Source organism: Homo sapiens, chromosome 5 (assembly GCF_000001405.40).
Source record: "Homo sapiens chromosome 5, GRCh38.p14 Primary Assembly".
In the NCBI taxonomy this organism is placed as follows: Eukaryota; Metazoa; Chordata; class Mammalia; order Primates; family Hominidae; genus Homo; species Homo sapiens.
In genome coordinates this window covers 175970827-175996399 of record NC_000005.10, presented here as the reverse complement: position 1 = coordinate 175996399, position 25573 = coordinate 175970827, and the positions used below count along the sequence as shown (strand labels likewise).

The window sequence follows — 25573 nt, the reverse complement described above, 5'->3', positions numbered from 1 at the left end:
CCATGGGGATGGCTTACTGAAGCACCCTGTGCTTTGTCTTGTGTGTGTGGTGGGTTTTTTTTGTTGTTGTTGTTTGTTTGTTTGTTTTGAGACGGGCTCAGTCTGTCACCTAGGCTGGAGTGTAGTGGCACAATCATAGCTTATAGCTCACTGCAGCCTCAACCTCTCCAACTCAAGCGATCCTCCTGCCTCAGCCTCCCGAAGTGCTAGGATTACAGATGTCAGCCACCAGCCTGCTTTGTTGTTGTTATTGTTGTTTTGAGACAGGGTCTTGCTCTTTGGCCCATGCTGGAGTGCAGAGGTGCAGTCTTGGCTCAGTGCAGTCTCCTGGGCTGACGCCATCCTCCCACCTCAGCCTCCTGAGTAGCTGGGATTACAGGCGTGCACCAACCATGCCCAGCTAACTTTTTGCATTTTTTGTAGAGGTGGAGTTTCACCATGTTGCCCAGCTGGTCAGGTGATCTGCCCACCTCTGCCTCCAAAAGGGCTGGGATTACAGTCATGAGCTTCCTTCTTTCAACGCAAGATGTTCATAGGGGGCTGGAGTCTGTTTAGACAGAATTCATGGGAGGGCCTTGACCTCAGCTTAGCAGATTTGGAGAGGGATGAGAGAAGAGAATACAATATTTAAGACTGTGCCAAATACAGTATTAGGTTCCTATATACATTCTGCATAGTAGATACTATTGAGTGAACTGGTATCGTTTTGACTACTCCAATAGTAACTCCTCTTCCTGTGGGAAGCTAGAGTTTCTGTTAGTATTTGTATGTTAACTGTCCCAATTTTTTTTTTTTCAGCAGGGTCTCGCGTGTCACCCAGACTGGAGTGCAGTATGTGATCTCATCTCACTGCAGCCTCCGCCTCCTGGGTTCAAGCAATTCTCCTGCGTCAGGCTCCAGAGTAGCTGGAATCACAGGTGCGCACGACCAAGCTTGGCTAATTTTTGTATTTTTAGTAGAGATGGGGTTTTGCCATGTTGGCCAGGCTAGTCTTGAGCTCCTGACCTCAGGTGACCCATCTGCCTTGACCTCCCAAAGTGCTGGGATTACAGGCGTGAGCCACCGCGCCTGGCCCCATTGTCCCAATTTTTAAATGTTGGCATCTAATTGAAAAAAAAAAAAACATGTGGACCAAACAGTGCAGTTCTCAACTGCAGTTCTTCACATGTAGTTCTTGACTGCAGGTGAAAGGAGTTTTTGGCAGCAGAGCTCCTGCAGTGCCACGCTCTGTGCTAGGGTGGCTGGGGACAAAGGCAAGTCAGCCAGGACTCCTTGGGAAGCTTTGATCCACAGGTGAGAGCAGCCTTCTACAGGGGAAAGGAGCACTGTCATAGGATTTGGTGTAATGGGATTTGACCCACGTTATTCTTGAGCTCCTTAGGCATGAATCTGCAGAAGGCTTTTTGTAGCTGAAATGGAAAAAGTAAAACACCTTGCAGCAGGCTTTTTTTTCTCCTAAGGGCTTTTGAGTTTCCTAAGGACTTTCCCTATCTCATTTGAGTTACTCCATTAAATGAGCAATAAACCCATTTTCCTGGGGGTCGAGGGGTAGCAGGCAACTAAGGCTCAAGGGAAATAAGTGTCTGAGAGTCACACAGGCTGGGATGAGGGAGAGGCCAGCCTGGGACCCAGCCCTCCTGAGTCTGTTTCCCAGCTTGCTACAAATAGGGAGGGGGAAGTGCGGACAGCTCAGAGAGATGAGACGACTCATCCAAAGACATACATCCAGGAAGCTCAAGAAAGGTACCAAAGCGTGTCCATGCACTCCTTGAGGTAATCTGAAAAATGTTTTATATTTGCACTTTTGTCTGTTTCTCAGAGTAAAAGTCCTAAAACTTTGGACAGATTCTCAAAGGGGTCTGTGATTCTCAAAGAGTTAAGAGCCACTAATTTAAGCTGAGGCCTTTCTGACTCCAAAGCCTGTATGCGGGGGCACCCTCCACCAGATCCTAGTTAAGAGGATATTCTTTAAAATTAAAACCTATATAAGATCTGGGTCTGCATCCTGAAGAAAGCACACTCATGGTAAATGGTCTGGCTATCTATTGCTATGTAGCAAATCATACTGAAATTTAGGGGCTTATAACAACCACAATCAACGTATGGTCTTATGATTCCCCTGTGAGGCATTTTGGAAGGGCTTGGCTGGGTGGATTTCTCTTATGCTTTCATTCAGACAGTGGCTACACCTGGAACAGTGGAGGGGCAGGCCAGAGGGGAGCTGGCTGAGCCTGTCTGCCTCTTCATGTCAGCTCAGGGCCTCGCTGTGTGGTTGGTCTGCATGAGTAGTGAAGGCTTCTTCATAGTGTGACTGCTCAAGGCCACTGGATCATCCACAAGCTGCTCTGGGCCACAGTAGGAGTGTCCAGGCAGCAGGGTGGAAGCTGCATCACCTTTTCCGATCACTGCCACTGTAGTCACAAGGTCTCTCAGGATTCATAGGGTGGGAACAGAGACCCCCACCCATCAATAGGAAACATGTCCAAGACACATTGTTAAGAAGAACATAAGAGCTGGGCATGGTAGTAATCCCAGAACTTTGGGAGGCTGAGGTGGGAGGATCACTTGAGTCCAGGAGTTTGACACCAGCCTGGCCAACATAGAGAGACCTCATCTCTACAAAAAATGAAAAAATTAGCCAGGTGTGGTGGTGCACGCCTGTGGTCCCAGCTATGTGGGAGGTTGAGGTGGGAGGACTACTTGAGCCTGAGAGGATGAGGCTGTAGTGAGCCATGATTGTGCCACTGCACTCCAGCCTGGGCAACAGAGCAAGACTGTTAAGAAAAAATATATAAGAACATAAGGGATGGGAGGTGACATGACTGTGTTTGGAAAGCACAGCATGCCACAGCGTGAGAGTGCAAGTGGCAGCAAGGAGTCCAGTGTGGCTTGAGTGGAGTGGGAGGAGTGGAAGGGGGTGAGCTCAGAGAGGCCGTATGCAGCTCTGTCAAGTTTGGGCTAGTAAACCAAGGTGTGGGCTTTTCATTTCATTCTAAATGAGATGGGAAGCTAATGAAAGGCTTTAAGAAGGGGTGTGATGTGATCTTATGTGTGTTTTAATAAACTTACTGGGGCTGCTGTGTCTGGAGAGAAGGATTGAAGGGGGCAAGAATGGAAGCAGGGAGACCAATAAGGAGTCTACTGCAGTCACGCTGGCCAGAGGTGATGGTGATGATGGAGGCTGTGGGATGGAGAGGAGTGGATGATTGCTGATATATTTTAGAGGGAGAATTATCAGTTTGCTGTTGGAATTGTTGGAGGATGGGAAGGTTGAGGGAAAGTCATCTGAAGAATGACAGTTTGCAGGACTGTGGCTTGAGTACCTAGGTTGATGGTGGTGCCATCAACCTGATGGGGTAATAGGTGTGTGTGTGTGTGTGTGTGTGTGTGTGTGTGAATTCAGATTTCAGTTTGGAATGTTAAGAGACTGGATTGCTGAGTAGGCCGTTGCATAGATGAAATGAGGGGAAGAGGTCTGAGCTGAAGATGCACAGTTTGGAATGTCTTCCCCTAGTTTTGCCTGAAGGCTTTAAGTTGGACATATGCCTCTGATTTTCCTACAGTAGCAGATCTCTGGGCCGGTGGGAAGCTGACAGCAGATTGGATGGGGTGAGATCAAGGGAGACTCATTTTTGGGAGCTCGGTGGCTCCATGGTGGGATCTAAGTGGTCTAAGTGAGATTCCCGTCTCAATACTATTTCACTACTATTTCCCATTCCCACCAGCAAGATATGAGGTTTCCATTTCTCCACATAGTCACCAGTACTTGTTATTGTTTGTCTTTTTGATTATAGCCATACTTGTGGGTGTGAAGTGGTATCTCATTGTCTTTTTAAATTTGCATTTCCATAATAACTAATGATGTTGAGCATCTTTTCATGTACCTACTAACCATTTATATATCTTCTTTGGTAAAATGTCTATTCAAATATTGCACCCATTTTAAAATTATTGAGTTGCAAGAGTTCTTGATATATTTTGCATAAAAGTTCTTTGCCAGATACAAAATTTCCATATATTTTCTCCTAGTCTGTATCTTGTCTTTTCATTCACTTAACAATGTCTTTTTAAATTTTTAATGAGGCTGGGTGCAGCGGCTCCCTCCTGTAATCCCAGCACTTCGGGAGGCCTAGCTGGGCGGATCATTTGCGGTCAGGAGTTCAAGACCAGCCTGGCCAATATTGTGAAATCCCTTCTCTACTAAAAATACAAAAATTAGCTGGGCATGGTAGTGCACACCTGTAATCCCAGCTACTCAGGAGGCTGAGGCAGGAGAATCACTTGAGCCCAGGAAGTGGAGGTTGCAGTGAGCCAGGACTTGAGCCCAGGAGGTAGAGGTTGCAGTGAGCCGGGATTGTGCCACTGCACTCCAGCCTGGGTGACAGGGTGAGACTTTCGCTAAATAAATAAATAAATAAATAAATAAATAAATAAATAAATAAATTTTTAAGGAATCTCAGCTGTGTGTCAGGCTGAGAAAAAACTTTTAATGATGCTCAGTTTCTTATGCCTTGTTCTTTGGTGTCATGACTAAATTGTATGTCATAAATATTTTCTCATTTTTTTCTGAAATTCTATAATTTTGTTTTATACTTAGATCTATGATCCATTTTGAGTTAAATTTTTTATAAGATGTGAAATTTATACTGAAGATCATTTTTGTTTAATTGTTTCAATAGCAGTTATTAAAAGCAATGTACTGAATTGCTTTTTTACTTTTTGTCAAAAAATAGCCATGTTTTTATGAACTTATTTCTGATCTTCATATTCTATTCCATTAATCTATTTTTCTATCCTTTCACTAATACCACAGTATCTTGATTACTGTAACTTTATAGTAAGCCTTAAAATCAGGTAGTATAATTCGTACGTGTTTGTTTCTCTCTTCAAAAATTCTTTTAGGTATTCTAGGTCCTTTGCCTTTCTATGTCAATTATTTTAGCTACCTAGTTTCTTTTCCTCTCTGTACAAATTTTAGAGTTGGTTGGTCTGTTGCTACAAAATACTCTGCCAGGATTTTGATTGGAATTTGTTTTATAGTAGTGGTGGGAGTAGATGTCTTTACCTTATTCCCTGGTCTCAGGGGAAAAGCATTTGTCTTTCACCATTTAAGAATGTTAATCTGGGCTTGGCGTGGTGTCTCACACCTGTAATCCTAGCACTTTGGCACTTTGGGAGGCCAAGGAAGGTGGATCACTTGAGGCCAGGAGTTCGAGACCAGCTTGGCCAACATGGGGAAACCCCATTTCTACTATTAAAAAAAATACAAAAATTAGCTGGGCATGGTGGCACTTGCCTGTAATCCCAGCTACCTGGGAGGCTGAACCACAAGAATCACTTGAACCCGGGAGGTAGAGGTTGCAGTATGCAGAGATCACACCACTGCACTCCAGCCTGGGCAACAGAGCAACACTCTGTCTCAAAAAAAGAAAAAAAAAAAAAAAGATAAAAATGAATGCTAGTCTGGGCAACATGGCAAAACCCCATCTCTATCAAAAATGCAAAAATATTGGCCAGGCGTGGTGGTGCATGCCTGTGGTCCCAGCTACTCAAGGGGGCTAAGGTGGGAGGATTACTGGAGCCCAGGAAGTTGAGGCTGCAGTGAGCCATGATCATGCCACTGCACTCCAGCCTGGATGATAGAGTGAGATGCTGTCTTGAAAAAAAAAAGTGTTAGCTACAGCTTTTTTTTTTTTTTTTTTTTTTTTAGATAGGTATCCTTTATCAGTTGGGGATAAATTATTCACAGTTTGCCAAAAGTTTGTACCATATATGATGATGAATTTTGTCAAATGATTTTTCTGTATCACTTGATTTGATCATATTTTTTCTTTAGATTGTTATATGGTGGATTATACTGATTAATTTTGAAATATTGAACCAGTCTTATAGGGATAAACTACTTGATCTTGCATTTTTACACATTGCTGGGTTTAGTTTGCTAGTATTTTCTTTTCTTTTCTTTTTGTTTTTTGAGATGGAGTTTCACTCTTGTTGCCCAGGCCTTAGGAGTGCAATGGCACCATCTCGGTTCACTGCGACCTCCGCCTCCTGGGTTCAAGTGATTCTCCTGCCTCAGCCTCCTGAGTAGCTGGGATTACAGGCATGCGCCACTGTGCCGGGCCAAGTTTTTTTTTTTTTTTTTTTTTGTATTTTTAGTAGAGATGGGGTTGCACCATTTTGGCCAGACTGGTCTTGAACTCCTGACCTCAGGTGATCCGCCCCCACCTCGGCCTCCGAAAGTGCTGGGATTTCAAGCATGAGCCACCGTGCCCGGCCCTGCTAGTATTTTCTTAAGGATGTTCACATCTTTGTTCATGAGGGATATTGATCTACGGTGGGTTTTTTAAACACTTTTATTATTGAGTTTTGAGAGTTCTTTATATGTTCTATACACATCTTCTCTGTTAAATATGTGGTTTGCAAATATTTTCTAACAGTCTGTGGATTATGTTTTTATTCTCGTTTTTGTTATAATATTTGGCAAATAATAATTGTATATATTCATAGAGTACACAGTGATGCTTCGATACATATCATGTATAATGATCAGATCAGGGTAATTAGCATATCCCTCATCTTAAACATTTATCATATCTTTGTGTTGGGAACATTCAGTATACTTCTAGCTATTCAAAGCTATGTATTATTAACTATAGTCATCCTACAGTGGTATAGAACCCTGGAACTTATTCAGTCTACATATTCATTCTCTTAACAATATGTTTTGATGAGCAGAAGTAATTAATTTTGATGAATTCCAGCTTGTTAAATTTTCATAATTTTATGGATCACGCTTTTGGTATCATATCTGTAAAATCTTTGCCAAACCCAAGGTCACAAAGATTTTCTCCTATTTTTTTCCAGGAACTATTTTTTTAAAAAGAGAATAGAAGTTTGTTTGTCTGCAGGTGAAGTAGCTCAATTTGTAAATGTTTTAAAACAAAACATGTCTGTTTTCTTCCTAAACATGTCTAGGAAAGGGCTATGGGTTATCGGTTTTAATATATTAGCTTATATTATACTAAAAATCACAGATACTCAGCTATGTTTGACCTATAGAAACAGCAGCTTTTAAAATTGTAGGCAGTCAACCTAGTCACATATGTCTTTGGCTCAGTACAGAATCTATCTTTTTTTTTTTTTTTTTTGGTCTGGTAAAGTCCTATGAATTAGATAAGCCATCTTTAACTCATGCCTAATTAGGGAAACATCTTCCCCAGGGACATACAACAGGAGTCCACTTAGGGGTATGGACTGTAAAGCTCAAAGGTCACTTGGTGCACGGATCTCCAAAGCAGAGGCCTCCACAGACATTTTACTTGAATTTCATATTTGAAATAACATTCAAGTAAGCACCATAATTAATGCAGTGTGAATCTTCAGATACGTTGCATGCTAAATATTAACATTTTGGAGATGGCTAGCACAGTTTCCTATACCTCTAACTAGGCTGGGTAGATGCTTGACACTAAAGTTTCTCCTCCTATCTCTGTGTGATTAAAGAGGATCCTGACATTGTAAAGCAAGCTTTTAAGTACTGCTAGCCTTTTAAGTACTGCTATTCTTTGCGACCTGGGATTTTCATAATATTTGGAACAACAACAAAAAAAGATGAGACTAAGTTCAGTACTGAAGTTGAGACATGACTGCTTCTGTTTCTAGTTTCTTATCTAGTTTCTTATTCTTTTTGACCTGTAAAGCAACGTCATTATTCTCAATGAATGACCTGATAAGTAAGTGTGGTAGAGTAAGTATACAGTGCCATTTTCCTTTTCCAGCAGAGGAAGATTACATTTCCCAGACTACCTTGCATTTGAATGGAGGCCTGTGCCTGGATACTGAGGGCGCCTGGGATGTGGATGGAAGTGGTGTATGTTCTTTTGGAGAAATTCCAGGGCTTTATTTTCCCTAAAGCCTGGCTCTATGCTGGGTTTCCTCCATCTCCCTAGATTAATAAGTTTGGGTAATGATTTTTGGTCATTTTTTCCTTCAAACGGTTGCCAGAAGCAATACTAGAAGAGCAGGTCATTGGATACATGAAATAACATTAACATTCATAGGAGAACTTTTCAGCCATAGGCAAATCTCCAGCAGCCCGGAGAAACAAGACATTAGAAAGTCCAAAAACTCACAGTAGTGGCAAAATCAGTTTAGTGAAAAAAAAACAAAAAACAAACAAACAAAAAAAACAGTAATAATACTGACAAAAAGAGTTGTCATTTAGAAACAGAATCCAGTTTTGTTTTTGTTTTTGAGACAGAGTCTCTCTCTGTCGCCAAGGCTGGCGATCGCGCAGTGGTGAGATCTCGGCTCACTGAAACCTCTGCCTCCCCAGGTTCATGCGATTCTCTTGCTTCAGCCTCCCAAGTAACCAGGACTACAGGAACAAACCACCATGCCTGGCTAATTTTTGTATTTTTAGTAGAGATGGGGTTTCATTGTATTGGCCAGGCTGGTCTCAAACTCCTGACCTCAGGTGATCCACCTGCCTCAGCCTCCCAAAGTGCTGGGATTACAGGTGTGAGCCACCGTGCCCGGCCAGTAGAAACAGAATCCGGGTTTTGAAAAGAAATCAGGACTGAGACAAGACAGATCCCAGTCCTGTAAGATTTGGATTATGAGAAAGGGAACTGGGGCAAAGTCTCACACTCAGGAGAGAGAAGCATCTTAGTCACTTCCACTGGTCTGCAAGGTGGGTGCTTGGAGATAAGAAATGTACCAAAAACTCAGTTATTAGAACAAAAGCTGCTTTAGTAGGCCCATTGATCTAGGTTAGTGGGCAATCTGAAGAGACGGGGATACAGCCAGGATGACCCATAGTGCCCCTAAAGGATTATTGGACTAAGGAAATTTCCAATTTCCAAAGTTTAGAAATCCACTCTCTTTATAACTGATATCTTCAGATGTACTTGGATGTAAAGGGTGAGGACAAAGATGCTGTTTGTTCCCATAGGCCTGCTTACAGACTCTCCCCAGAGGGGGTTGAAGTGAAAGAAGCTCTTGCTCAAAAACCTGGTGGAGGAGGTACGAGACGCCAGCCCTCAGGGAAATGTGAAACATGCAGGTATGAGTGGTCCATGCTTAGGAATGTTAGAACAGAGGAGGCCAACCAGGGGTGCCAGCTAGAGATGAGCTCTCTGGAATGGTGTTCAGTCATGTGGAAATCACACCAGATTGGGACTTAAGGTGGAGTCTGGCAGTGGTAGGATAGAATGCTTTAAAAGTGGAGGGTGCCAGGTGAATGAATCAGGGATCCAAGGGGTGGGTCACATTTGGTGAGAGCTTGATGTCACGAGACAGTGTAGGGCCAGGTGAGGCCATCACTTTTCTTTACTCTGTTGACACTAAAAGACAAGAATGAAAGGCTGGGAATCAGTTCTTACCATCATTTCTCTGGGCTACAGCAGTCGTTCATTATTCATGAATAATATGTCTTTTTCATTGAATTCATGGGTCTCTGTGTTCTTTTCTGTCATTCATTTAAAGTAGATAAAAATATTTTCTGTTGATTCTTTGAAAATTTCAAATAAAGTGCCTTTGATATGTGATCCTCAATGATCTTTCAGTCATTCTCTGCTTAATAAGGGTGCTGATTCTCAAAACTCGAGATGCAATTTGCTCCAGCAGGTAGGATTCTGGTCTCCAAGTTCAGAGTGAGTTTTTGGAATCTGCTGAGAGAGTTTTGCAGGATGAGAATTGCTTTCCAGATTAACCCTGACACAAAGGCTTGGCCCAAAGACCAAGACTCCATATGGGAAGGTAACTGAGAAGCAAGTATTGTGGGATTCTGTTCTGCTGCAAGTACCCTGAACTTTCTTAATTATCCAATCCAGAATCTCAGAGACCAGAGATTTTGAGACAGAGTCCTCTCTCTATACAGCCTCTGGATTTGACTGTGGGCTTTGAAGCAAAGCTCTAGTTGCCATTCTGACTCCTCCTCATTCTATCCTGTTCCCCTAGAAGGGTGATGTTCTGCTGTACCTTGTGTGTTCCCCTTTGAGGCATCTCTGTAAATGATTTAGTAAAGTGGGAAGAGGAACAGACAACAAGAATCAGTTCATTTTGGAGGCTAAGTCTAGGGATCACCTACCCAATATTGATAGAAGCAGATTCCTCTGGAGGGAGTGGAGAAACAGAGTGTAGAAAATTAAATAAATACAGGTTCCTCTTCAAAGGGACTTTCCTCCCAGTCTAATTAAGAATAGATAGTAACCTCTCTTAGAAGCAAAATTTACTCAGAGACCTGTGCTGATATTCTTAAATTCTGTTAGCCGTAATAAAGAAATCAATATACTCTGTTCTTAGCTCTTACATTTTAGCCTAGATATTTGCCCTGGCATGCCTGAACCAGTCCAAGCAAGCATTAGGTCACAGCCTACTCCTTTTCCTTATTTGGAAGTGTTTTTGCCTCTCTCAGCATTCCATAAGTTACTTCCTCTCTTCCTTTGTTCTCCTCTGCGTTTGCCTCTTTTGAGAAGTTCTAAGTTGCTAGCCATTCGGGTAGAGTACAGAATGTGAGGTCCTGTTCCAGCCAGTGGAAACTGGACACAGCAGAAGGGTGGACACTTCAGGTTATAAATGACCCTGTCTCCTTTGTTCGTGTGTGCTCTCATGGCGAGACTGCTAGCGAGTGGCACCCTTTCTGCAGAAAGTAAACTAGCCTTGCTGAGAGATACTTTGTCTCAGTGTTGATTTTTGTGATACCAAGCATCGGTTCCCAACACAGAGGATCCCCACATGACAAATGAGCTGGAAAGTAGAAAAATGTCCCATAAAGTCAAGCTTGAACTCACTCATGGGCTACTAGAGTTTCTCAGAAGAAAGAGAGATTTCTCCATCATCTGAACCACACACCTGCCTCAGGCACCTGGGCACTGAGAATGTTCATTAGCTGAGTTCCTGACTTGGATCACATAGCTATGGAACAGTCACTATGGTCTTTTGAGGTTCGTGGAGGAGACACAAAGAAGAAAGAGCCTGCACCTAAAAGCACCTCTCTTACCCTCCAGCCTAGCAGATCTCACCACCCATCATGGACCATCTGCACCCCTCCACTCTTCTCTGAGCCTTGCTATTTTCTAACTCCAACCTTTCAGCACATAATATATATTTTAGTGCAATTCTCTACTTATTCGTATAACCAGAGCTCGATTCAGCTTTAGCCCTTAAAAATTGTCAGCTTTGATCCTACTAATTCTATAGCTTTGAAAGTCTGGAGTTATTCCAGGAATTTTTGTTAATTCCTGGGGAATTATACTCTCATCCTGCTTTGTTTTCAACTCTGGCTTCTGTTTTTGCCTTGTGTAAAGCAGACATAGAGTTCAGCCACGGCTTTCAGGTTCTCCCCAAAACATCCACTTTTACAAGAAAGCTTTAGTGACCAATGTGGCCTCTGTTAAAGATACTTTAAGATTGGCAAAAAGGGAGAGAGGTCCCCATGGCAAGTATTTTTTTAAGAAAGTTTTAAAAATTTTGTGGCAAAATATACATAACAAAAATTTACCACCTGTGATACTGTGATTTATAATAAGAAATATATATTTTAGACTTTGTCCCCAGTTCCTGGCACAGAGCTCCTTAAACCCTGGTAATTTCCTGAGCAATAGAGGTGCTAGGAGAATCTTTTGTTGTAACAGTTGGTCTTTGGCATCAGTCTCTGACAGAGCTCTTAATCCCTTGAACATTCCTGGGTGATAGGGGTGTCTTTTGTTTTAATGAGGTGACTCTTGATGGGCTCCTATACAGAGGTTGGTCACCAGAAAGATTAGGGGATGATTAGAAGCTTGAAATTTTCATCCCCACCACCCATTCTCTGGGAAGCAGGGAGGGACTGGAGACTGTTAATAATGGATCATGCCTATGTGATGAAGTGAGATAGAGGGCTAGCCTGATTAAGCCCACCAAATGTAACCTGCCTTCCTTGCTTTTCATCGCTGACTTCTGGTTGACCTGAAAACCTATATAGCTAAAAATCACATAGCCAAACAATATCTTAGTAAACTCCCACTAGCTCCTTACGGATAACGTTTCTAATATACATGTCACTATGGTAATGGCTGCTTAAAGTTGTTTCTCAGGAGCTAGGGGGAAGCTCTTGTCCAGTTTGAACCAGTTGAGACCACTGACCCTTCGGCTGGGCCTGCACAAGTGTGCGAGATGTCAAAGGGCCAAAAATTCCTCCCTCAGCTCATGCTAACACTGCCATTTTCTGAATATGTGTCCTCTAAACTGCCAAGAACCCTGGCTATGCTTGTGCAGACCACCGATTTCCTCATTTTTCCCACCTCCAGTCACCTTTCCCCATGCCTTAGACCACCCCACTTCTTTATCCCATGAATGTCCTCGAGCCCTGTATTCAGGGAGGTAGATTCCAGAGCTGTTCTCCCATCCCCTCGCTGGGCCGCCCTGCAAATAAAGTGTTTTCTCTATGGCAAAACTTGTCATTTCAGTGATTGGCTTACTGAACAAGGGGGAAGAGTAAGCCTGGTTCGGTATCCGAAGCCTCTATAAAAATCCCTGAATTAAAAGAGTTCAGAGAGCTTCCAGGTTGGTGAATGTATCCACATGCTGGGAGGGTGGTGCACCTCAACTCCATGGGGACAGACTCTTGTTCTCGGGACCCTTCCAGACCTTGCCCTATGTCTCTCTTCATATGGCTATTTATTCGTGTCCTTTATCACACATCGTTTATTATAAGATAAGCCCGTAAATGTGGGTAAGTGTTTTTCTGAATTCTATGAGCTGTCTTAGCAAATTATTGAACCTGAGGATGGGACTGTGGAAGCCCAGATTTTATAGCCAGCTGGTCAGAAGTACAGGTGACAATGTGGGACTTGTGATTGGCATCTGAAGTGGAGCAGTCTTGTGGGACTGTGTCCTTAACCCTTGGGGTTTGTGCTAACTCTTTAGTGTCAGAATTAAATTGAATAGTAGGTATCAGAGAATTGGTTCGTGTTGGAGAATTGATTGTTGGGGGGAACCCCCACCCCTATATATCTGCTGACAGAAATGAAGCATTAAGAGGAAAAACAGTTGATTTTTCCTTATTTACCATTTTAGCTGTTTTATTATGTGTACAGTTTAGTGGCATTAAGTACATTCTCACTGTTGAGAAACCATGGCCACTATTCTCTCTCAAACTTTTCATTTTGCAAAAAATAAAACTTTGTACCCATTAAACAATAACTCATCTATTCCTCCTTACCTGCAGGCCCTGGCAACTACCATTTTACTTTCTGACTCTATGAATTTGAAGAACTATATAGTATTCATCCTTTTGGTACTGCCTTATTTCACTTAACATAATGTCTTCAAGGTTCACTTAGCGTGACAGCCTTGAGGTTCATGTTGTAGCATGTGTCAGAATTTTCTTAAGGCTGAAGAATATTCCATTGTAGGTCTATGCCACATTTGGTTTATCTGTTCATCTCTTGAACTCTTGGGTTGCTTCCACCTTTTGGCTATGGACTTGGGTGTATGAATACCTTTTTGAGACCCTGCTTTTAATTCTTTTGGGTATATCTCCTTAAGTGAAATTGCTAGATCAATGGCTGGGCATGGTGGCTCACGCCTGTAATCCCAGCACTTTGGGAGGCTGAGGCAGGTGGATCACTTGAGGTTAGGAGTTCAAGACCAGCCTGGCCGACATGATGAAACCCCGTCTCTACTAAAAAATACAAAAATTAGCTGAGTGTGGTGGTGGGCGCCGGTAATCTCAGTTACTCAGGAGGCTGAGGCAGGAGAATTGCTTGAGCCCGGGAGGCGGAGGCTGCAGTGAGCCAAGATGGCGCCTCTGCAGTCCAGCCTGGGTGACAGAACAAGACTGTCTCAAAAAGAAGAAGAAAGAAATTGGTAGATCATATGATAATTCTATTTTGAATTTTTTGAGAGACTGCCATGCTGTTTGCCATAGCAAATGCCCCATTTCACATTCCCACCAACGGGGCACAAGGGCTCCAATTTCTCCACATCCTTGCCAACATTTGCTTTTTTCTTTTGTTTTTCTTTTTTGATAATAGCTATCCTAATGGGTGTAAGGTGGTACCTCATTATGGTTTTGATTTGCTTTCTCATAATCACTGGTAATGTTGAGCATCTTTTCATGTGTTTACTGGGCATCTGTATATCTTTTTGGAGGAATGTCCAAGTTCTATTTTTTTATTTTTTTTTATTTTGAGATGGAGTTTTGCTTGTTGCCCAAGTTGGAGTGCAATGGCACGATCTTGGCTCACTGCAACCTCTGCCTCCTCGGTTCAAGCATTTCTCCTGCCTCAGCCTCCCAAGTAGCTGGAATTACAGGCGTCTGCCACCACGGCTGGCTAATTTTTTTTTTTTTTTAATTTTTAGTAGAGATGGGGTTTTACCACATTGGCCAGGCTGGTCTTGAACTCCTGATCTCAGGTGATCCACCCGCCTCAGCCTCCGAAAGTGCCGGGATTACAGGCGTGAGCCACCATGCCTGGCCTATTTTTTTTTTTTTTTTTTTTGAGATGGAGTCCCACTCTGTTGCCCAGCTGGAGTAAAATGGCGCCATCTTGGCTCACTGCAACCTCTACCTCCTGGGTTCAAGTGATTCTCCTGCCTCAGCCTCCTGAGTAGCTGGGATTACAGGTGCCCGCCACCACACCTGGCTGATTGTTTATTTGTTTATTTATTTAGAGACGGGTTTCCCCATGTTGGCCAGGCTTGTCTTGAACTCCTGACCTCAGGTGATCCACTCCCTTGGCCTCCCAAAGTGCTGGGATTACAGGTGTGAGCCACCACGCCTGGCCTTGGCCTATTTTTTAAATCTGATTTTTTTGTTGTTGTTGTCATTGGTGAGTTGTAGGATTTCTATATATATTCTGGCTATTAATCCTTTATCAGATATATGATTTGCAAATATTTTCTTCTGTTTTATGTGTTCCTATTTCACTCTGTTGATTTTGTTCTTTGATACCCAGAAGTTTTAAATTTTGATGTAGTCTATCTTTTTCTTTTGCTACCTGTGTTGTTGGTGTCATGTATAAGAAATCGTTGCCAAATCCAATGTCATGAAGTATTCCTCCTATGTTTTCTTCTAAGAGTTTAAGTTTCTTCCAAGATTTATATTTAGGTCTTTGATTTATTCTTAGTTAATTTTTGTTTATGGTATAAGATAAGAGTCCAACTTCATTATTTTTCATGTGGATATCCAGCTTTTCCAACACCATTGTTGAAAAGACTGCCCATTCCCCTTTGAATGGTCTTGACACTTTTGTCAAAAATCATTAGACTGTATAAGCAATGGTTTATTTTTGGCTCTCTATTCTATTTCATTGTTCTACATGTCTGTCTTTATGCTTGCATGACACTGTTTTGGTTACTGTACAGTAAGTTTTGAAATCAGGAAATATGGGATCTCCCACGTTGTTATTTTTACAAGATTGTTTTGGCTATTTGGGGTCCCTTGGGATTGCCTATGAATTTTAGTATCTAAAAAAAATCTATAAAAATAGTCATTGAGGTTGGGACAGGGATTTCATTGAATTTGTGTATCACTTTCGGTGGTATTGACACCTTAACAATATTAAGTTATCCAATCCATGAACACAGGATGTCTTCCCGTTTATTGGTGTCTTCTTTAATTTCTTTAAAATACATTTTGTAGTTTTCAGTGTGTCTTTTGCTTCCTTGGTTTACCTTATTCCTAAGTGTTTGCATCTTCCTGATGCTATGCAAATGGAATTGTTTTCTTAATTTCCTTTTCAAATTGTGCATTGTTGGTGTTTAGAAACCCAACTGATTTTTGTGTTTTGATTTTGTATCCTGCAGTTTTGTTCAATTTGTTTCTATCTTCTAACATTTTTTAAAATACAGTTTATAATAAAGTAATACCTGTCTGTATTTTTAAAATTGGAAAATACAGAAAGGAAGAAGGAAATAAACAGCCATTATCCAATCACAATTATGTTTTACATTTTGGTGTCTTTCCATTTAGCTGGTTTTCTATCCTTTTTAAAAACCGAGCTGCAAAGTAACATTTATATATCCTGTCATATGAACCTCCCTTTACTGTTTTGAGGATTTTGATGGCTATATGACATTTAATTAAGTGGACATGCTATGGTTTACATAACCATTACTTTGCAATAGGAGGACTTTTAGGTTGCTTCTAATTTATCACTGTTAACTAATACTGTAGGGAATAATTTTGTACATGAAATTTTTCTATGTTTAAAATTGTTTCCCTAATACAAGGTTTATTAATTATAAAAACAGTTCCAACAATTTAGAATTGTGAAAACCGAAAGTGTTTCCTTCTCCCCTTGTCTTTTTCTTCAGTGGTAACCACTGTTAACAATTTAGTATGTATTTTTTTTCTTAGTTTTAAAATTGTCATAAAATACACACAACATAAGTTTTACCATCTTAACCATTTTTAAGTGTACAGTTAAGTGGTGTTAAGTTGTGAATCCAAAGTATTTGAGACAGATCTCAATCAACGTGGAAAGTTTATTTTGCCAAGGTTAAACAGCCTCAGCAAGTTCCGACAATGATGCAGGATTTTTCTCCGCCCCTTTGCTGGACTCACGGCAGGGGTGCCCCATCTACTTGGCCTGCCGCACTCAGCCCTCTTGTGGGAGGGAGTACGTGAGTGGGTGAGTGAGTGTGGGATCCGGCTGGCTGCTCTGGGTGCTGATACGGGAGCAAGCTCTACGCAGCACCCATGGCCAGACCAGGCATGTTGCCTTGAGGGGAATGCCGTGGCACCCAGACAAGGGTGCCTGTGACCCTGAAGCCCCAGAGGCTGTGTTCATGTGCTAATTAGCTCTTTTAGTTCTGCTGCCCACAGCCTGATGGACCACAGATTGTTAGCGGCTCAGTCGGCCCCTGGCCCTGTTGCGTGGGGTGGCTGCACTCTGCCAGCGAGGGCAAAGGGCCAGTGTGACAACCCTTCTGGGTACCCACACTTGGTGGGGCCTGAGCTCTTATCCAGCGTCCAAGAAGAATGAGGTCACACTTGCCGATTGAAGGACGGTGGGGGCAGAGAATTTTATTGAGTGATGAAAACAGCTCTCAGCGGAGAGGGGAGTTGGAGAGGGGATGGGAAGGGCCGCTCGTTGTCTTCCCCTGAAGTCAGGAGGTCTTTGTCCCGAAGTCAGGCCATTTCTTCCCTGAAGTCAGGCTGTCTCCTCCCCAAAGTCAGGCCATCTCCCCTCTACTGACTGAGTCTGGGGTCTTTAGAGACACATGATGGGGGTGGCACAGGCTGTAGGTAGTACAGGAAAAAGCAACATTTGTTTGGTTAAAAGGCATTATTCAGAAAGATCCAATTGGGAGAGAGCAGGCAAACAGGAATAGAAGGTCTCACTCTGCTCTGTGAGTTTCAGGCTGTTTTGGGCTGGAAGGTGGGGTTTCACCAGGGACCCACCCTATCTGACTATGATTTCTCTGCCTCCTGTCTCTATTAATAATGTGCCCAAGGTGGTTGGGGCATGGCCTAGTTTTATACATTTTAGGGAGACATGAGATATCAATAAAGTACATGTAAAATGTACATTGGTTCAGTCTGGAAAGGCCAGACAACTTGAAGGAGGGGGCGCTTCCAGGTTATAGGTAGATTAAAAAAATTTCTATTTGGCAATTGGTCGAAAGAGTTATGTTATTATCTAAAGACCTGGAATCAGTAGAAAGGAACGTCTGGGTTGTGATGATTAGGAGTTGTGGAGACCAAAGTTTTATCATGCAGATGAAGCTTCCAGGTACCAGGCTTCAGAGAGAACAGATTGTAAATGTTTTTCATCAGACTTCAACAGTCTGTTCTATTCAGTAATTTTGAAAGGGAAGAGGGCATAATGAGACATGTCTGCTCCCTGCCTCCCATTATGGTCAGAACCAGTCCCCCTGGTTAGCCTTGGAATGCTCTTGCCAAGAGAAGTCCATTCAGATGGTGGGGCAGGAGGTGGTTAGAATTTTATTTTTGGTTTACAAAGTACATTCACATTGTTCTGCAACCATCACCACCATCTGTCTCCAGAACACTGTTTATCTTGCTGAACTCAAACTCAATACCCATTAAACAGTAACTCCCTGGAATTCTCCCCTTCCCTCAGCCTCTGGCAACCACTATTCTACTTTCTGTTTCTATGAATTAGACTATTCTAGAAATCTCATATAAGTGGAATTATACAGCATTTCTGTTTTTGTAACTGGTTTATTTCACTTTGCAAAATGTGTTCAAAGTTCAAACTCATGTTGTAGCATGTGTCAGAATTTCTTTTTAAAGCTGAATAATATTCTATTATATGTATTTATCACATCTTGTTTACCCATTCATCTGTCACTGAACACTTGGATTTCTTCCATCTTTTCCCTATTGTGAATAATGCTGCTGTGAACATGGGTATATGGCGATCTCCTTGAGACCCTGCTTTTCAATTCTTTTTGGGTCTATACCCCAAAACAGAATTGCTTTATCATATGGTAATTCTATTTTTAACTTTTTGGGAAACTGCCATACTGTTTTCCAATGTGACTTCACCATTTTCCATTCCCACCAATAGTGCACAATGGTTTCAATTTCTACACACCCTTGCCAACACTTTTTATTTTCTGCTCATTTTTTAAATAGTAGCCATCATAATGGGTATGAAGTAGCATCTCATTATCATTTCAATTTTAATTTTTGCTTTTTTTTTTTTTTTTGAGACAGGGTCTCTCTCCCATTGCCCAGGCTGGAGTGCAGTGGCACAATCATAGCTCACCGCAGCCTTGACTTCCCAGGCTCAGGTGCTTTTCCTACCTCAGCCTCCTGAGTAGCTGGACTTCAGGCATGCACCACCCCACCCAGCTAATTTTTGTATTTTTGGTAGAGACCGGGTTTTACCCTGTTGCCCAGGCTGGTCTTGAACTCCTGGGCTCAAGCCATCCTCTCACTTTGGCCTCCCAAAGTACTGAGATTGTAGGTATGAGCCACCATGCCTGGCCTGATTTGCATTTTCCTAATGATTAGTGATTGTTCTAACAGTTTTTGTTTGTTTGTTCGTTTGTTTTTTAGTGGACTCTTCAGGGTTTCCTACATTAAATGTGTAATCTGAGAAGAGAGATAATTTTATGTGTTTTTTTTCCAATTTAGATGCTTTTTATTTCTTTTTCTTACCTGCTTGCTCCAGTTAGGACTTCCAGTACTATGTTGAATAGAAGTGGCAAAAGCAGGCATCTTTATTCTTGTTTGTGATCCTAGACCTTTTGGTCTTTAACCATTTAACGTGTTAGCTGTAAGCTTTACATATATGGCTTTTATTATATTGAGGTAGTTCTCTTTTATTTCTAGTTTGCTGAGTACTTTTTATCATGAAAATATGTTGAATTTTGTCAAACGTTCTTTCTGAATCAATTGAGATGATCATGTGGTTTTGTGTTTAATTCTATTTATGTGGAGAAATGCATTTTTTTTTTTCGAGATGGGAGTCTCACTCTGTGACTCAGGCTGGAGTGCACTGGCGCGATCTCAATTCACTGCAACCTCCATCTCCTGGATTCAGATTCTCCTGCCTCAGCCTCTCGAGTAGCTGGGATTACAGGTGCCCGCCATCACTCCTGGCTAATTTTTGTGTTTTTAGTAGAGACAGGGTTTCACCATGTTGGCCAGGCTGGTCTCAAACTCCTGACCTCAGGTGATCCGCCCACCTTGGCCTCCCAAAGCGTTGGGATTACAGGCATGAGCCACTGCACCTGGCCGCATTCATTGTTTTTTGTATGTTAAATCATCCTTGCACTCCAGAAATAAATCCCACTTGGTCGTGGTATGTAGTAATTTTAAAGCATTGTTGAATTCTGTTGGCTAGTATTTTGTTAAGGATTTTCACTTCAGTGTTTACCAGGGATACTGGTCTGTGTGGTTTTCTTTTCTTGTAGTGTATTTGTTTGGCTTTTATATTAGGGTAATGCTGGTCTTATAGAATAAGTGGGGGGTGTCCTCTCTTCAGTCTTTTTAACAGTTTAGGAGGATTGCTGTTAATTTTTCTATAAATGTTTGGTAGAATTTACTAGTGAAACCATCTTGTTCTAGGGTTTTGTTTTTTTTTTTGGTTGTTGTTGAAAGGTTTTTGGCTATAGATTCAATCTCCTTATTAATTGTAGTCTATTCCAGTTTTCTGTTTCTCCAGATTCACTCTTGGTAGATTGTGTATTTCTAGGATTTTATTCATTTCATCTAGTTATCTAATTTTTCATCATATAGGTATTCACATTACTAGCTTATGATCCTTTTTATTTCTGTAAAAGCAGCAGCAATGTCTCCTTTCATTTCTGATTTTAGTTATTTGAGACTTCTCTCTTATTTTCTTAGTCAGTTGGCAGTTTTGCTGATCTTATGGAAGAACCAACTCTTGTTTTTTAATTTTAAAAGTTGTTTTCTATTCTCTATTTTGTTGATCTTTGCTCAAATCTTCATTATTTCTTTTCCTCTGCGAGGTTTCAGTTTCATTTGTTATTTTTCTAGTTCCTTAAGGTGTAAAGTTACATTGTTGATTTGGGTTCTTATTTGGTATGCAAGCAATTACAGCTGTAAATTTCCTTTTTAGTACTATGTTTGCTGCATCCCATACATTTTGGTACATTTGTTTTTATTTTCATTTGTCTGAAGATATTTTCTAATTTCCCTTGTGATTTTTTTCTTTTGACCCATTGTTATTTGAGAGTGTATTGTTTTGTTCTCTCTTTTGTTTTCTTTAGAGATGAGCTCTTGCTCCATCATCCAAGTTGGAGTGCAGTGGCATGATCAAAGCTCACTGCAGCCTCAAATGCCTGGGCTCAAGTGATCCTTCCACTTCAGCCTCCTGAGTATCTGGGATTAAGGAATGTGTTGTTTAATTTTCATGTATTTGTGGATTTTTCAGCACAACTTTTGCTATTGGTTTCTTTCCATTGTGATTGGAAACAATATTTTGTATGATTTTAATCTTTTAAAATTCATTAAGACTTGTTTTGTGGCCTAACACATCCTCTATCCTGGAGAATGTTTCATAATGCACTTTAAAAAAAGTATATTCTATTGTTAGGTGGATTGTGTTGTTTATGTCTGTTAGGGCCATTTCGTCTATAGTGTTGTTCAAGTTCTTGTATTTCCTTATTGATCTTCTGTCTAGTTGTTCTATCCGTTATTGAAAGGGTAGTACTGAAGTCTCCTACTATTTTTTCAAGTTGTCTATTTCTGTCTTCAATTCTGTCAATGTTTGCTATGTATATTTAGGCTCTAATATTTATTGCATAAATGTTTTTAATTGTTATATCTTCTTGGTGAATTGACCCTTTCACCATTATATAATATTCTCCTGTTTCTTGTAACAGTTTTATTTTTACTTAGTGTCTATTTTTAGGCTGGGAGTGGTGGCTCACGCCTGTAATCCCACACTTTGGGAGGCCAAGGCAGGTGGATCACCTGAGGTCAAGAGTTCGAGACCAACCTGGCCAACATGGCAAAACCCCTTCTCTACTAAAAAATACAAAAAAAAACTTAGCTGGGTGTGGTGGCACGCACCCATAGTCCCAGCTGCTTGGGAGGCTGAGACACGAGAATTGCTTGAACCTGGGAGGTGGAAGTTGCAGTGAGCCGAGATCACGCCACTGCACTCCAGTCTGGATGACAGAGTGAGACTCCATCTTAATTTTAAAAAGAAAAAAAAGTCTATTTTTTTCCCTCTGTGTTTCTCTCTGTCTCTCTCTTTTCTTTCTGGAATTCCAATAGCTTATAACTTGGTCCACTTGATGTTGTTCCATATGCTCCCTAGGCTCTGTTCACTTTTCTTCATTGTTTTTTTCTTTTTGCTTCTCAGACTTGATAATTTCAAATGATGTTTCTTCAAGTTCACTGATTCTTCTGCCCATTCAATTCTGATTTTGAACCCCTCTAGTTAATTTTCCAATTCAGTTAGCTGATTTTTCAACTCTAGGATGTCTGTATGGTTCTTTTTAAAAATAATTTGTCTCTTTGCTGATATCCTATTTTGTTCATGTATTGTTTTCCTGCTTCCTTTAATTCAGTGTCTCATTGAGTATATTTAATAAAGACCATTGTTTTAAAGTCTTTGTTTAGTAAGCCTGAAACCTGTGTTTCTTTAGAGTTGGTTTTTGGAGATTTATTTTGTTGACTTTGATCAGGCCATATTTTCCTGTTTCTTTGTGTGCCTTGTGATTTTAAGAAGGCGTTTGAAAAAACAGCCACCTGTCCTAAGGGACCTAAAATCTCCCCTTTCTACCTATGCAGTGCTCCACTCTGCTGGTTTGTGCTGCTCTGTCTTGGTATTCCCCCAAATATTTTAAATTATTTTTTTCATTTTCATGTAATTTTTTATTTTTTGAAATGGAGTCTCACTCTGTCACCCAGGCTGGAGTGCAGTGGCACGATCTCGGCTTACTGCAACCTCCGCCTTTTGGGTTCAAGCAATTCTCCTGCCTCAGCCTCCTAGTAGCTGGAACTATATGCATGTACCACCACGCCTGGCTAATTTTTGTATTTTTAGTAGAGATGGGGTTTCACTATGTTGGCCAGGCTGGTCTCGAACTCCTGATCTCAGGTGATCTGCCTGCCTCAGCCTCCCAAAATGCTGGGATTACAGGCATGAACCACCATGCCCGGCCTATTCTTTTCATTTTCATACAGAGCAACTCAACTCTCCCATGACCATACCCAATCTAATCACTTAAACCCATCTTTATACGGAGAATCGGTGAGGCCTCTGTTTTGCATATCCAAACACTTAAGGGAGCAGTAGGAATTCTGTAGAGCAATATTTTTTGTTTGTTTTGAATTACATCTATGGATATTTCCTCTATAAATGGTTTCCTAATTTTTCCCTTTTCAGTTTTTTCACCAAAATTCTTATTGGCCTCTCAATAACTCTTATTGTTGTTGTTGTCAAGACAGAGTCTTGTTCTGTCCTCCAACCTGGAGTGCAGTGGTATGATCTCGACTCACTGCAACCTCCATCTCCTGGATTCATTCGATTCTCTTGCCTCAGCCTCCTGAGTAGCTGGGACTACAGTTGCGCACCACCATGCCCAGCTAATTTTTGTATTTTTAGTAGAGACAGGGTTTCACCATGTTGGCCAGGGTGGTCTCAAAATCCTTACATCAGGTGGTCTACCCGCCTCAGCCTCCAAGGTGCTGGGATTACAGGTGTGAGCCACCACACCAGCTTAAATAATTCTTAAAATTAGTAATTTTTGGTAAAATTTTTAAATATATTTTGTATAAGTTTATATCTAGGTATTTTATCATATAAACATTTAAATATATGAATATATATTTATATTTTAAAATCACATATATATGACTAAAGCAGAACATATATATATCTGCTTTAGTTCTGAATATTAGTCTGGTATATAATTAAGTTGTAACATTATCAGCTTTGTGATATAAAATTTTAAGCTGCTGAAATGAAACTCTATCCTTTCTTTAGTTTGATTTCTTCACTTACCTGATAATTCTAATTATCTTCCAGTTGTTCTGCTTCTCTGGCTGAACCCTGACGGATACATACCCATATGTTGAGGCTTTGCCAGAGGTGACAAGTCTGTTTTCTTTTACAACATCAGCTTCTCTAAAGTCCTCTGACCCCCAAAGGACTTATACTTCAAGACTCCCCTACTCTTCTTTCACTGTAAGATTTTTCCCCTGTCCCTCTACACATCCTGTCATCTCTGGCATTACTATTTATGGCCTGATTCTGCCTTGAATGACCCTGAAGTCCCCAAGACTCACATGTGTAAAAAATTTCTTAGTTTGATTTTGATCAGCTCCTAAGAGAGAATTTCTAGGTGAGAGAAGGAACTGTAAAAACGGTCCATCAACTGCATTCTTCAAAAATGTTGATGTCATAATAGGCACAGAAATGCTGGGGAACCTTTATAGATTCAAGGAGACTAAGGACATATAATAACTAAATATAGTATGAGGTTCTAGACTGGAACATGTACTGAAAGAAAAGAAGGGCTATAAAGAACATTTCTGGCTAAATTGACACAAATGAAATACAGACAGTAGATTAAATAAAATTCCATGTTTCTGTTCAATTTACCAACATCGATAACTATACTGGGGGTAGGAAACAGAACATCCTATTTCTTAGGAAATACTGAAATATTTAGGGGTAAAGGGTAAGATGTATGCAACTTACAATGTGATATGTCTTGGATTTGTGTCCCTGAGAAAATTTCCAATTGTAAACCCCAGTGTTGGAGGAGGGGCCTGGTGAGAGGTGACTGGATCATCGGAGCGAATTTCCCCCTTGCTGTTCTCGTTACAGTGACTGAGTTCTTATGACATCTGGCTGTTTAAAAGTATGTGGCACCTCCCTGTCTCTCTGTTTCCTGAGACGTGCCCAGCCATGCTTCCTGTACAGCCTATGGAACCACGAGCCAATTAAACCTCTTTTTTTTTTTTTTTTTTTTTTGAGACAGCTTTTTGCTCTGTAGCCCAGGCTGGAGTGCAGTGGTGCAATCTAGGCTCACTGCAAGCTCCGCCTCCCGGGTTCACGCCATTCTCCTGCCTCAGCCTTCCAAGTAGCTGGGACTACAGGCGCCCGCCACCACGCCTGGCTAATTTTATTATATTTTAAGTAGAGACGAGGTTTCATCATCTTGGCCAGGCTGGTCTTGAACTCCTGACCTCGTGATCCACCCGCCTTGACCTCCCAAAGTGCTGGAATTACAGGTGTGAGCCACCGCGCCTGGCCCAATTAAACCTCTTTTCTTTATAAATTACCCAGTCTCAGGTAGTTCCCTATAGCAATGTGAGAACGGACTAATGCACAATTGCCAAATGTTTAGACAAAAGAGTAGTAACGTAGATATATGTAGAGAAAGCAAATGGAGGCTGGGCACAGTGACTCAGGCCTGTAATCTCAGCACTTTGGGAGGCCAAGGCGGGTGAGGCCAGGAGTTTGAGACCAGCCTGGCCAACATGGAGAAACTCCATTTCTACAAAACATACAAAAAATTAGCGGGTGTGGGGGTGCATGCCTGTAATCCCAGCTACTCAGGTGGCTGAGACATGAGAATCGCTTGAACCTGGGAAGCGGAGGTTGCAGTGAGCCAAGATCGCGCCACTGCACTCCAGCCTGGGTGACAGAGTAAGACTGTGTCTCAAAAAAATAAATAAATAAAAATAAAACTAAAAAAAGAAAAAAAGTGGAACAAAATGCTACAATTTGGTGAATCTGTGTCACAGGAATAGCAGTGCTTTTTAGTATTCTTGCAACTTTTCTGTAAATTTGAATTTTTCCAAATAAAAAGTTTTAAAAAATGGCCCATGACTCTGTTCCCCTCAATTTTATCTCCCCTTTGAGAGACTCTGACTTCAGTCTCAACATTGCCCCCAGATGTGTGCTAGTCCAACTTGAAATGTTATACCAGTTTCTGTCTCAGGCAAGAGCAGTCGGATATACTTATCACAACTGAGTTTCTAACATCCATGTATACAGAATATAGAAAAGGAACACAAGGGGAAATTAAGTAAAAAACATACATTACAGGCCGGGCGCGGTGGCTCATGCCTGTAATCCCAGCACTTTGGGAGGCAGAGACGGGTGGATCACCTGACATC

The 25573-nt window shown here is 41.4% G+C and overlaps 1 long non-coding RNA gene across 1 annotated transcript; it reads right to left on the bottom strand.

Moving 5' to 3' along the window:
- Positions 1–16991: 16991 nt before the first annotated feature.
- Positions 16992–24280, bottom strand: THOC3-AS1 (THOC3 antisense RNA 1). Its single transcript, NR_183278.1, has 2 exons — positions 23448–24280; positions 16992–17233 (listed from the first exon to the last, which is right to left on the bottom strand). It is a non-coding gene; the product is annotated as a THOC3 antisense RNA 1 (long non-coding RNA).
- Positions 24281–25573: the final 1293 nt, after the last annotated feature.